Below are 13,194 nucleotides of genomic sequence, written 5' to 3' on the forward strand. Positions count from 1 at the left end.
AATTACTTGAACCCAGGAGGTGGAGATTGCAGTGAGCCAAGATTGCACCACTGCACTCCAGTCTGGGCAACAGAATGAGATGCCATCTCAAAAAAAAAAAAAATGCTATGCGATACAAAAATGATGTACTTGTCAATAGTCCAGTGAGTCAGGGGAACCCTTTCTCTTTATTGTGGAGAAAAATAGCACAATCAGAAAAAAAATTAAAAGATAATTTTCAGGAAAACTGACAGTTAAAAATCCAATTCTGTTTTACACAAGTAGTCTTTTGTGTTTTGCAGAAAAACAAATATCTGTTGATTTGGAGATGGACAATATATGGTCCTTAGCAAATAAAAGAAGTTTAGCTGTGGGGAAACCTGCACTTCCTCATAATTTATTGAATAGCTTAAAAAGATGTCATCAGCAATTATAAGTGTGCTTCTGGGGTGCTTACTTCACAGGCCTCAAAGGGAGAAATGAGTCTGACAGGAGGCTTGAGGCACTTAAAAAACACACAGACATTCTGATTGCCACCCCTAGAAAGTGCCTTTTTTTTTTTTTAAAGTTACAAAATATGAAATGCTTCATAAATTTACATGTCATCCTTGAGCAGGGGCCATGCTAATCTTCTCTGTATCATTCCAATTTTAGTATATGTGCTGCCAATATAAGCATAGAAAGTGCTTTTCAGATGGCCAGGCACAGTGGCTCATGCCTGTAATCCCAGCACTTTGGGAGGCCTAGGTGGGCAGATCACCTGAGGTCAGGAGTTAGAGACCAGCCTGACCAACACTAAGAAACCCTGTCTCTACTAAAAATACAAAATTAGCTGGGTGTGGTGGTGCATGCCTGTAATACCAGCTGCTTGGTAGGCAGAGGCAGGAGAATTGCTTGAACCCAGGAGGTGGAGGTTGTGGTGAGCCAGGATAGTGCCATTGCACATTTTTCAGGTAAAACCATGCTTCAACTCTACTGCCTTCAATGATTGGGTAGGCTCTACCAAACAGCAAACACCTGAGCCATTCTCACTGGAAAGAAAATCACAGGCAGATCACATTCCATATCTCAATGCTTCTAAATATCAGAGAACTGCTGGGACAGTGGTGTGTGCCTGTAATCTCAGCTACTTGGGAGGCTGAGGCAGGAGGATCCTTTGAGCCCAGGAGTTTGAGACTAGTCTGGGCAACATAGTGAGATTCCATTGCAAAAAAACAGTATGTGAAGTAAATTTAAAATAAATATCAGAGAAGTGTACTTTGAAAACAAAGCAAAAATCCTGAAAAGGAAAAACACAAGCAATCCAGGGTGTACACAAGCATGTATTGTACCCAATGCAGTAAGTAACTGGACTACAGTTCATTCCAACTACTTGGTAAGGTTCATTGTGAACTGCAAACTTAGAAAGGGATCACTGTTTGCTTTTCCTTTATCTTAAAAAAATATATAGGCCAGCTTTGCAATTAAGAGGGGATACATGGTGTTTACTGTAAAGGCTTTGATGTGAGTTCAGTTCTACCCTCTTTAAAATAACCAGAAAAACTCAGAAATGGTTTGCTAGTCTGATCTATGATCCTACTGTTAGAAAAGGCATTTTGTCAACCATAATTTTTGAATGTGCATTTTGATAAAGCAAGACAATTTTTATACTGTCATAAGTGACAATCAAGACCAATTAAAGTTTAATATTTAGGTCAAGTGTCCAAACATCTGGGCAGTCCATGTCTGCCAAGTGCAGCCCTAGTGGGTTGTGTTAAGGAAGAGGTAGGAGGTACAGCAGCAAGTCCAGCTGGTGCCCAGGGAGATATTTTGGATTTCTGGAACATTGCCTTTGGTGATTGTGTTAAAACTATTTCTGACTTGAATGGTATTGTTTTCAGCCTGTCATTTCAAAGGTGCAACCCAAAATGCCAGTATTATTTGTGTGCAGAGAATACAAATAAATTGAAAACCACCATCCTTGGTTTCTACCTCTTCCCCTCCTGTGCACACTTGAGTCCACCTAAAATTTCTCTCTTAAACATCATCAGCTACTTCCTAAGGGTCAAACCATCTGGTGGTTTCTCGGATCTCATCCCACTGTTGCTCTCAGAGATACTAAACCCCACATAAATTTTCCTTCTCAAAGCTCTATAAAACCTTTCTTAGTTTCCTCATAGAATTTTCTGTTCTCCTGCCTCAAATTTCCCTCACTTTCCTTATTCTATCCAGTACTCCCCCGACCCACCCTCACCTTTTCTCTCTCCACTCTCAGCGCAATCACACTTTCTTCTACGATTTTCATAATACTTGTACACAAATGACTCATATTTGGCTCTGTCCTTCTAATTTCCAACAGAGCATTTCTAACTCTCTGCTGGATGCCACGCTGTGCTGATAACAGTGTCAGAAGTCACTCAGGTGAGAACTGAACTTTTCTTCCTCCTAAGGCTTCCTACTTTCTTATTTCAGTAAACAGAGCAGCATCTCAGCATGCCAGTGAAACGATGGCTCTTTATTTCAGGTTGATCCTGTTCCTCCTTTTTAAATTCTTTTTTCCAGTTATACTTGCACACATTATTTAAAGACTAAGTCTTTCAGTTCTAAAAACTTTCCTTGAATTTCTTTTATACTTTCTCTTTTCCAGTCCTTTTTTCTCTTTCTGATACTTCTATTATTCAATTATTGGACCTTGGTGACCAGTTCTCACATTATATCATCTCTCTCTCTCCTATTTTCTAATTTCTTTGTCCTATTGCTGTAAAATCTAGATTTCCTCAACTTATTTTTACTACATTTCTACTTTTTCATTTTTGCTATCACATTATTAATTTATAAGAGGTATTTTTTTCCCCACTGAATATTTTTTTCTTTTTTGAGACAGGGTCTTGCTCTGCTCTGTCACCCAGGCTGGAGTGCAGTGGTGCGATTATACGATTGTAGTTCACTGTAACCTCAAACTCCTGGGTTCAAACCATCCTTCTGCCAAGCCTCTCAAGTAGCTGGGACTACTATACTCAACTATTTAGGTTTTTTTTTTGGAGAGACAGAGTCTCATGATGTCGCCCAGGCTGGTCTTAAACTCCTGGGCTCAAGTGATTCTCTTGCCTTGGCCTCCCAAAGTGCTGGAATTACAGGTGTAAGCCACCATGCCCAGCCCCTCGCTGAATATTTTTTATGTAGTATCCTTTATAATTTCTTTGAGGGTATTGATAAATTAACTTCCTCTTTGTTTAATCTGTTTCGTGTTTGTTTTGATCTCTGCCTTTTGGGTTAGAGGCTTTCCCCTAATTCCTGATGATCCTTGGCTATTCACTCACATTATATGTAAGAGTGAGCCACTTAAATGCCAGTTAGCTCTATGTACATGGTGATATTTGCCACTATGGGCTTCATAGTAGGGTGATTTGGCTGGGTAATTCATTTGGGGAACCCCAGTATCAGTGTCTTTAGATCTTTTTTCTTGGGTTTGTTAAATTCCCCAGAAAAGTCTCTTCTAGCCTCCTACTTAGAGTTAGAAGTGTTTTGGCAATAGGGTTGGGGAGAAGGCCAGGGAGGATGGTGGTTATATTTAGTATGTAAATGTTTAATTAATCCTGTTTTCAGTATGTTATTCCTATCTCCAGCTATGTCTGGTGTTCCCCAGTCCAAAGACCTGTTGTTTCACACTCTCCCGGAATTAACCTCTAATCTGCTAGGTGGTGGAGGGAGCAATGGCTAACTACATGGAATGGGGCAGAGGATCTAGAAGTAATTGTTTCCTGAATTGCTTTTCCACCCACCACCCCATGGTACAGCATGGTACTCAAGACTACAAGCTCCTGAGCCTTCAGAAGAATCCAGCTCATAAGTCAGGTTTTTCAGTTTTCCCCATTCCAGATAGGAATGTAATGTTCCTGGGTCGACTAAGTTAGTTTGAACCCGCCACTGCAAAATTGTAACTGGGACAGTGGAAGAGATCGGACTTAACCAACTCCATCTTGCTTCTTACCTCCAAGCTGTCCTTGTTCATCCCTGGGCATAGGCTGAACTAATTTTGAGAGGAATTTATAGTTTAAAACAAAGATAAGAGGCAAATCCCCTTCTTGCCTGGGGACGAGACTGCCTTTGTAGGATTAACAAATTAGTCACAAGATTAGAAATTATGGTTTAGGAGTCATGCAGCTGGAGGCTGCAAGATTCTGACCCTCCCTAAACTGCTCCTAAGTCAGGAACTATTTTGTAGACCCTGCACTTGATGGATCAGCTGGCACCACCCAGATCCATAAACTGGCTCATCTGATCTTGGTTCTTGTGGCCCCCACCCAGGAACTGACTCAGCACAAGAAGACAGCTTTAATTCCCTGATCTCTTCTCTTTCCCAACCAATCAGCACTCTTGACTCACATCCCCTTCCCACCAAATTATCCTTAAAAACTCTGATCCCTGAATGCTCGGAAAGACCGATTTGAGTTATAATAAAACTCCAGTCTCCCCTACAGCCGGCTCTGTGTGAATTACTCTTTCTTTATTGAAATTCCTGTCTTGATAAATCGGCTTCGTTTAGGGAGTGGGAAAGATGAACCCACTGGGCGGTTACGAGTTTTCAACCTACCTACCTTTGAGCTTCCAAAATTGTTTTCTCCTTTTCCATTTTGTCCGCATGTGTCTTGTTGCTTGTGATTTGGCCTCTTTCTTGTTGTTAGTGGGTGTCTGAGGGCAGAAAAGCTGATGTGAGCATTCAGCCAGGCCTGGATCCCATTCCCATTGCCCTTGCCTTCAGTGGGATTTCTGCAATAAACTCTTCCACTCTATTGTGGCAATAAACTCTAGCCACTATATTGCCACTAAAGTCACTTTCTTCAAATACAAAACCAGTCATTTACTCAAAAACCTCATCAGCTGTCCACTGTGTATAGAAAAGTCAATACTCCATAGCACATCACCCTAGGTCTTGGATGACCTGACTCCAGTATAAGTTTATAGTGTGACTTATACCACCTACCACACATATCCAAATCTGCAACAATTTTAGTTTTAATAGTGTACATCCCTCATCTTCTATCTTGAAGGCAGGAATAAATTATGTAGGGAGTCTGAGAAGAGGTTGGAACCCAACTACCTGAATCCATTACTTCAGCTCTGCCACTTTACTGGCTGGGTGATCTTGGGCAAGCTACTTAATCTCCATGTCTGCAAAACAAGAATAATAATAATAATAATAATAATAATAATGATAATAGGACCTACTTTCTAACATTGTTACAAGGATTAGAAGAGCACTTAACAGTGGCTAGCAAGTAGGAAGTGCAAGGTAAGGATAATGATTATAATTCTCTGCACATCTGTCTCCTCCAGTAGATTATCAAGTTCCTGGAGAAGGATCACTTCTCATTTATTCAACATTTGTGCTGTGCCTATGATGTAACGATGTAAAAAGAGCTTAGCAAATGGAAAGACTGTCGACTTATGGTTCAAATATAATGTGACAAATGATACAACACAGGAAAGAGCAAAGCACAGAGAATAGAGCATGCAGAATTGAATGGTGAAGAACGGATGGGGGAAGGCTTCACAATCTAACACTGAAGATGGGGCTTGATGAATGAATATGTAAGAGCCAAGAGTTGTGCAAGGAACAGTGGATGGGGAGAAAACCACAGACAGCCTGGAGAAGCAGGTTGGGGCCAGTTGCACAAGGCCCTGCATAACCTGTTTACCATACAATTTATTGTTTGACCAGTGTTTGCTAATCTCACTGTTCTAGCATATCAGGCGTGTCAGAGAATTATGAGGAGTCAAAGTATTTTGTTACTAATAATAGCTGAAATGTGGGTACTTAACTTTTTTTTGAGATGGAGTTTTGCTCTTGTTGCCCAAGCTGGAGTGCAATGGAGCGATCTCAGCTCACTGCAGCCTCTGCCTCTGGGGTTCAAGCGATTCTCCTGCCTCAGCCTCCCATGTAGCTGGGATTATGGGTGTGTGCCACCATACCTGGCTGGTTTTTTGTATTTTTAGTAGAGACGGGGTTTCACTATGTTGGCCAGGCTGGTCTCGAACTCCTGACCTCAGGTGATCCACCCGCCTCAGCCTCCCAAAGTGCTGGGATTACAGGCGTGAGCCACCATGCCTGGCCAGGTACTTGACATTTTAAAAATAAATCAGGACACACTCCCAAATGATGTTGAACAAAAGAATACATAATCTATGACTCCATTTATAAAAGAAAGAGAAAACCAGGCAAAGATTGTCTCTGTTGTCTCAGTTCATGACACAGTTACCTTCAGGGGTGGACAGTGACAGGGAGAGGATTCAAGAGGGACTTCTGGGTGCCTCATGCTATTTCTTGATCTGGGGACTGGCTCCACAGGTGTGCTGTTTCTGAAAATTCAACAAGCTGTATACTTATAGTGCACTTTTCTGTATCTCTTCTGCTTTAAAATAAGTCAGGTGCACAGCACCATGTGCTCACTTGTATTTCCATATTCTTTTACTGGAAGGGGTGAGGTTACAGACTCCTCTTGTGTTGTACTCTGGGAATTCACTGTGCAGACATGCATCAATAGTTTTGTGTTCCTTTAAGAAGTAACTCTGGGAATAGCGCTTAGATGCTCAGAAAGGCCAAGGATAGTGATCACACCAGCCAAGGGTCACCTTTAGCAAGAGCAGGGCTTAGTGAGTGTGTGATGAATTGACTTACACTCGAGTTAGTTATAAATGTAGAGATTCTGAAACACCAACTTCGCATATCTGTAAGATTGCTTTTCCCTCATTTTACATGTAATGAGGGGCTGACAGTTCCTTGCTAACCTTATAGAGAAACACAAGTCAAAACCACATCTGCATAAGCATGAGTTATAATGCATTCAACATTTATGTACCCTTAGGAACAAGAGTCGATTTTTTTTTCCCAGTTATTTCCATCAAAAAACAGCCATGTGTCACATGACAGGGACATGTTCTGAGAAATGAGCTGTAAGGCAATTTTGTTGTCATGTCATGTATGTCACAGAGTATACTCAACAAACCTAGATGGCATAGCCTACTACACACCTAGGCTATATGGTATAGCCCATTGCTCCTAGGCTACAAACCTGTACACAGCATGTTACTGTACTGAATACTGTAGGCAACTGTAACACAATAGTAAGTATGCGTGTATCTAAACATGCCTAAACATAGGACAGTCACAGTAAAAATAACGGCTTGATAGTCTTATGGGACCACTGTACTATGTGGTCTGTTATTGAAACATCCTAATGCAGTGCTGCATGTATCCCACTAAAAATAGTACAAAAAGATGAGACTTTGTCTTCCACATCAGACCTGTCTCCCAAGGCAACCACTATTATGACTTTCTTATGTAGTCTTACATACATATTTTATACATGCACAAAAGCATATATATGAATGTGTATTACTCCCGCCCTGCTTCTTTCCCTAAATAATTGCAAGCCCCATGTATTTACTTGTTTTTTACTGGAGATGTTTCACATCCACAAACGTGCATAGAACGCATCTACCATTCCACTGACTATACAAATTCTGACTTACTTTACCAGGTATTTCTAGTAAAACTCTAAAACCTTAACATTTTTTACAAACTATGTGGCATCCTTGAATACACATTCTTTGACGTGCTTTTTCAATTACGGTAGAAACTGCCTTAACGCATAGCCTCACCGACAGCATGTTAAAACGCAAACCTTTTGACCTTTGCATTGCTATTTGGCTAACACTGGTACTTCGCTGTTATTTTAATCGGCAACCTTCTATTTAGCTCCACTGATTTTTCCATGTCTACCTGAATTAAGTACTAAACTGTTTCGAATACCATAGCCTTAATATATATTTTAATGTGCGGTAGGTTTAGTCTTTGTTCTGTTTCTCTGCAAAGAGATCATTAAAAAAAAATGTACAGGCAATATTTTAGACTGCCTTAATGCCAGACTTCGCAGCACAATATAGCTATTGCTCCTATTACACAAACATATTACAATGGAATTTACGGCTTCCCCTCAAGAATATGGAACATAATTATTCATGTCACAATTTTAAATAGGAAAATTAGTGATTAAATTTTTTTTTAGAAAGAATCATGTTCATACAGTAGGCCAGGTATAATCACTTCTCAAAGAAACGGCTAAGATTTTACATTTGTAATATATCGCTTTCTGTGTAAATACCCCAGAAGGAAATAGTAACTGTATTTGGTTAGTGACTCTCCTGGATTCAAGTCCATCAAGGACACATGAAAGTGGCCATATCTGGGATTAGGGTCTTTGCAGCTGTCATCAAGTTGAGATCATACTGGATGAGGGTAGGTCCTAGTCCAATGACCGATGTCCTTGTAGGAGGGAAACTGGACACAGACACAGGAAAATGCCATGTGAGGCAGGAACTGGAGTGACGCCACTACAAGACAAGGGACACCATGGCTGGCTGGCTGCCACCAGAAGCCAGAAAGGGGCAGGGTGGGATTCTTCTCCAGACCCTGAGGGCATTGCCCTGCTGAAGCCTGAGTTTGGATTCTGGCCTCCAAAACTATGAGGATAATTCCAGGTGTCTGAAGCTGCGGCACACGTGGCAAGTTGTTACGGCAGCCCTAGCTGAGGAACGCAATCACCACCCCCGATTTTGTGTCACTTAGAACTGCCATAAATCTCCAGTGGTATATAGCTATAATGAGTGACTTGTCACTTGATGTCTCTTTTTCAGTCACTAGGTTGCTTCCAATAAGGCAAAAAGTAAGAACTTGTCTAGAAAACCCAGCCGGGCACAGTGGCTCATGCCTGTAATCCCAGCACTTCGGGAGGGCGGACAGGCGGATCACTTGAGGTCAGGAGTTTGAGACCAGCCTGGCAACATGGTGAAACCCCCGTCTCTACTAAAAATACAAAAATTAGCTGGGCGTGGTGGCGGGCACCTGTAATTCCAGCTACTCGGGAGACTGAGGCAGGAGAATTGCTTGAACCCAGGAGGTGGAGGTTGCAGTGAGTCGAGTCACGCCACTGCACTCCGGCCTGAGCGACAGAATGAGATTCTGTCTCAAAAAAAAAAAAAAAAAAGAAAACCCTTTTATGGTGATGATTTTATACTATTACCTCATTGAGACATAATTTATATTAAGGAAAAACAATACCTGGAAAATAAAATGTCAATGTTTTACAAAGTGTTCATAGTTTTATTACTTATCACCTCTATGTATTTTAACAACTTCAAAAGTGCAGTTGGATTATATGGGAAAAGATTTTTCTTTTGCAAACGGCAGATGGCATCTTGTAGTTCCTGGAAGCATTTTACTATTCTGTAAAATATTCCCACTTCAGAGACGACATCATTTGGGGCTACTTCACAATCAAAGGAGAAGGCAGTATCAAATTCTTTCAGAACCAGAGGCCTTGATGGAGGCTCAAGGCTAAATTCTTTTTTATCCCTGCTTGTCCCAGCTGCATCCTGAATCTCCTTAGTTGCTTGCTGGTGTAAAGATGTCTGTTTACTGTTAGCTAAACACTGCTCTGTGGATTCCACGTCAGAATCGTCAGAGCTGTCGTAATCTACCAGACTTTGAGAGGCCCGGGGGGAAGACAGACTAGAAGCACACATGGTGTGAGCCCCCTTGGACATCACAGCTTTCAGTGGTTCAGAGGGAGCATCGGAAGCCCAGGAGTGCCGAGCACACACATCTCTGTGACTATGAGGAGCAGTCAAACGATGGGGTATTGTTTGGTTGGAGCTTTGGTCTTGGACAAGTGAGGGGACACAGCCACAAATACTTATGTCATATTTAGATTCAGTTGCATCAAAGTTATTGCAAATGGTGAAAAAATTATCCCAGTCCTTTTGCAGTAATTTTAAATATCTAACAAAATATTCAAGAAAACAGGTTTCTGATGAAATCAAAAAGTCAAGAAGAACTGTGGAATCAAATCCTATATTTTTCAAGAAGAACAAGAAAATACAGTGAGGATTATAGCCATTTTCATGTGTGTGATGGTCCCACATTTCTTTTCCCTGAGTCAAGCTTTCAGTGGCTTCACATCCTCTGAAAATGAAGATAATGGAGAATGCAGATTAATGACCTTACAAAAATAAACAGTTTTACCAGATATAATTCACATACCATAAATTAACCTATTAGATTACTTTTAAATCTATGCATCACTTCTTAAAAGAAAAAATTTCAAAACCCATTCCCTTCCCCATAAGCTCTAAAGAAATCTGACTCAGTAAAGCAAAATCCACTGACTTTGGCAGTTCTAGTTTTTGTCTGCCCAATAAAAGTTACCTGTTGTTCTTTCTCTCGACATCAGAACTCCTCATTCTTATAGGTAACCAATTCCATGTGGTAAGATAATTCCTAAACCTCCTTCCTTACCCTCAACAAGGGTGGGCATGTGACCCAGATTGACCAATCAGAGCACTCCATGCTCCTGGCCACAATGACTGGTTCTGACAAGGCTCTGTGACCCAAGTGGGTTAATCAGGTCTCCCCTGGGACTTTTGCTGGAGCTATGGAAGATTATAACTGTAAGGCTGAGGTACGCCTTGAACTGCCGGTGGCCATGCCTTGAGAATGAATTCAAAACTGTGAGACAGAGAAAAATTGAGAAGTGATTGATGACATGATTGATTATAGTCCCTGTACATATAGTTATACCTGACTCCAACTTGACCCTTTAGAATTCCCAGTTATGAGCCAATAAATGCTGGCTTTTGCTCAAATTAGAGTTGGTTTCTATCATTTACAACCAAAAAAATCTTAACAAATACAACTACATCTGAAAAAAACTATCTATGTTGTAAGCACATGCCTCTCTGGACACACTGAACTGGATTCAGAAAGTGAGAAATTCACACACAAAGTCAGTTTCATTCAGGGGTTTCCACTTCCTGAGGAGTAAGGAGCTAACTTTGAGTACAATTAAGATACACTCTTACAGGCGTGTGCATTTTCAGACTGAACTTGTATTTGACCATTTTGAACCTAATTCAAATCACATGCAGGAATTTTGTGTTCTTGATTAGGACCTTTTGAAAATTGGCCCCAAACACTCAAGAGTCTAAGAGCAGCCATTGCCAGCAGTGTCATAATACAAGTAAGTACTGGCGGCACAACGCTGCACCACAGATCATTAGCAAGAAATCCCTTTCTCCCAGGCCAAGAAAGAAATGGAAATAAAGCAAATATGTGAGGGTTTTAATAAAGCAGAAGCAGAAACAGTGGAAAAGGTCATCGGTTATTAGCTTCATAACCAATTATAGATATTTGCCACAAGAAGATATTAACCCAAGTACAGCTATTTTAATAAAGCAGAGACAATCAGTATAAATCATCAGTAACATAACTTAACCAATTTCAGACATTTGCCTCAAGAAGGTATCAGCCCAAATTCGACTGAAACGAAAATTCAGAACAGCTTCTTTGATTATTTCTAAGTTTGTATTCACCTTTACAAAGGCAAAGATCATCTTACTGAAGCTTAATACAAAAAAGTAAGTCTTAGGGGTGAAAAGAGGTCTTAAATGAACAACAATTAAGATTCAGAGAAGTGTACTGACTTACTGGAGACCAAATCAGAAGCCATGTTTTCAGATACCAATCTAGTTATACTACCTGAGAACTGCCCAGCCAGCCAGGTTTTCCTAGCGATACAAATGCAATCTCCTTTTCATGTAAGTCAGGGTTAAAGAAAGGAACTGCAACAGGATGTTTTCCCCCAAATGATGAAAGTAAGCAACACGCCCAGCACATTCTCAGAAATGTTTTCTGCTTTCCTGACTTGTAGGCCGTTCAATAATTACTTTAAAATACACTAACCTGGTCAGTGTTAAGTAGATGCCCAGTGATGCCTTGGCAGCCTCCAGCATGTCATCGTCTTGTTCTATGAAAACCCGAGACAGCCATTTGCACGGATTGTGTAATTGCAGAGAGGGCTGAAGATGAGGCTTTAAGAAGGTCAGTAACTCAGACATGAACCTCTGTAAGTCAACTTCAAAAAATGAAAATTTCAAAGTGTAGGCAATAGTTTATGAATGAATGAATATCTTGCCTATATATAAATTCATAGTGTCTAAAGTACCTTAAGATGCAATTATCCTAATTCACTTTCAAAAAGTCATCAGGAATCAGTTAGGAAGCATCTTTATTTGGCAAATGAGGACACTGAGGCTCAGGGAAAAAAAGTGACTCATTCCAGAGCATACATTTAAAATGTACAGCTACATCATCTATTTGCAACAACTGCCTAACAACTGTCTCTTAGAAATAAAAGTTATGTGATTTCTTGCTAAAAGCAGATAAATAAATGAGCAGACAACTAAGATCACTTCATCGGATGCCAGAGCTGTCTGTCCAAGAATGCAACCAAGCAAAAATAATTTTGTCTTCAAAATAACAGAAAAACATATTTTTTGTTTGTTTAAAGCATAGAAGTACTACTATTAAGCACAAAAATAAAAAACGTTTTAGGTAGTTTGAACTACAATTTAAAACTGAATTATATAACAGGTGCCATCTAGTGTTATAAATTAAAACTGCACAGAATTATAACTAATGTGTAGTTATTAAAAGCTAAATTATATCCAAAGCAATTCAGTGATGTCATTGCTCACAATTCAAACTTTTCACTGAATCTGTATGCTGCCTGTTTAGAGACATTTACTATTCATTTTTCTCAAGTAAAATGGAAGACTTTGAACTCCTGAGTTACTATTCTGGAAATTATATATGTAACAATTTCTTTGTCAATATAACTTCTCATATATTAGCTTTAATTCAATATCTAATTTTCAATAATCTACATTAGTGGAAACACTAATTGTATGAAGGATTAATACAAATGGGGTGGGGAAACAGAGACGAGAGGATCACTTCAGCTCAAAACGTTGAGGCTGCAGTGAGCCTGGGAGACAGAGCAAGACCCTGCCTCAAAATAAATAAACAGTAAACACAACAATAACAAAGAAATAACAACAAACAATAATAACAATAAACACATAAGTGGGAGTGAACATATTTTTCTTTAATCTCTCTGTCTTCTCCTCTCTCTCTCTCTCTCTCCCTGAAAGGATCTCCATCTGTTGCACCAGGACTGGAGTGCAGGTGTGCGATGGGTCGCGGCTCACTGTAGCCTTGATCTCCCAGGCTAGGACCTCCCAGGTTGGGACAGGAGGAATAGCATGGGCCGAAGGGGGGTCAGGGCTGCAGTGGGCCATGGTCACGCACCTGCAGTTTAGATTAAAAAAAAAAAAAGG

At 40.3% G+C, this 13,194-nt stretch overlaps 1 protein-coding gene and 1 pseudogene across 16 annotated transcripts in view; both read right to left on the reverse strand.

The window, feature by feature from the left end:
- On the reverse strand, positions 552-646 carry RNU6-181P (RNA, U6 small nuclear 181, pseudogene; annotated as a pseudogene).
- LINS1 (lines homolog 1) overlaps positions 6,789-13,194 on the reverse strand; it is a 35,261-nt gene continuing 28,855 nt past the window's right edge. For 5 of the 16 annotated variants that reach the window (NM_001040616.3, NM_001352507.2, XM_005254941.3 and 2 more), the window contains 2 exons: positions 11,759-11,930; positions 6,789-9,982 (listed from right to left, as the gene is read on the reverse strand). In NM_001040616.3, coding sequence (NP_001035706.2) covers positions 9,103-9,982; positions 11,759-11,930 — 1,052 coding nt within the window. In that variant the 3' untranslated portion in view covers positions 6,789-9,102. Of the gene's footprint in view, positions 9,983-10,315; positions 10,526-11,758; positions 13,166-13,194 lie in introns of those variants that run through there. The other 11 variants (NM_001352508.2, XM_005254943.3, XM_047432784.1 and 8 more) reach the window with 7 other exon arrangements.

Source organism: Homo sapiens, chromosome 15 (genome assembly GCF_000001405.40).
Source record: "Homo sapiens chromosome 15, GRCh38.p14 Primary Assembly".
In the NCBI taxonomy this organism is placed as follows: domain Eukaryota; kingdom Metazoa; phylum Chordata; class Mammalia; order Primates; family Hominidae; genus Homo; species Homo sapiens.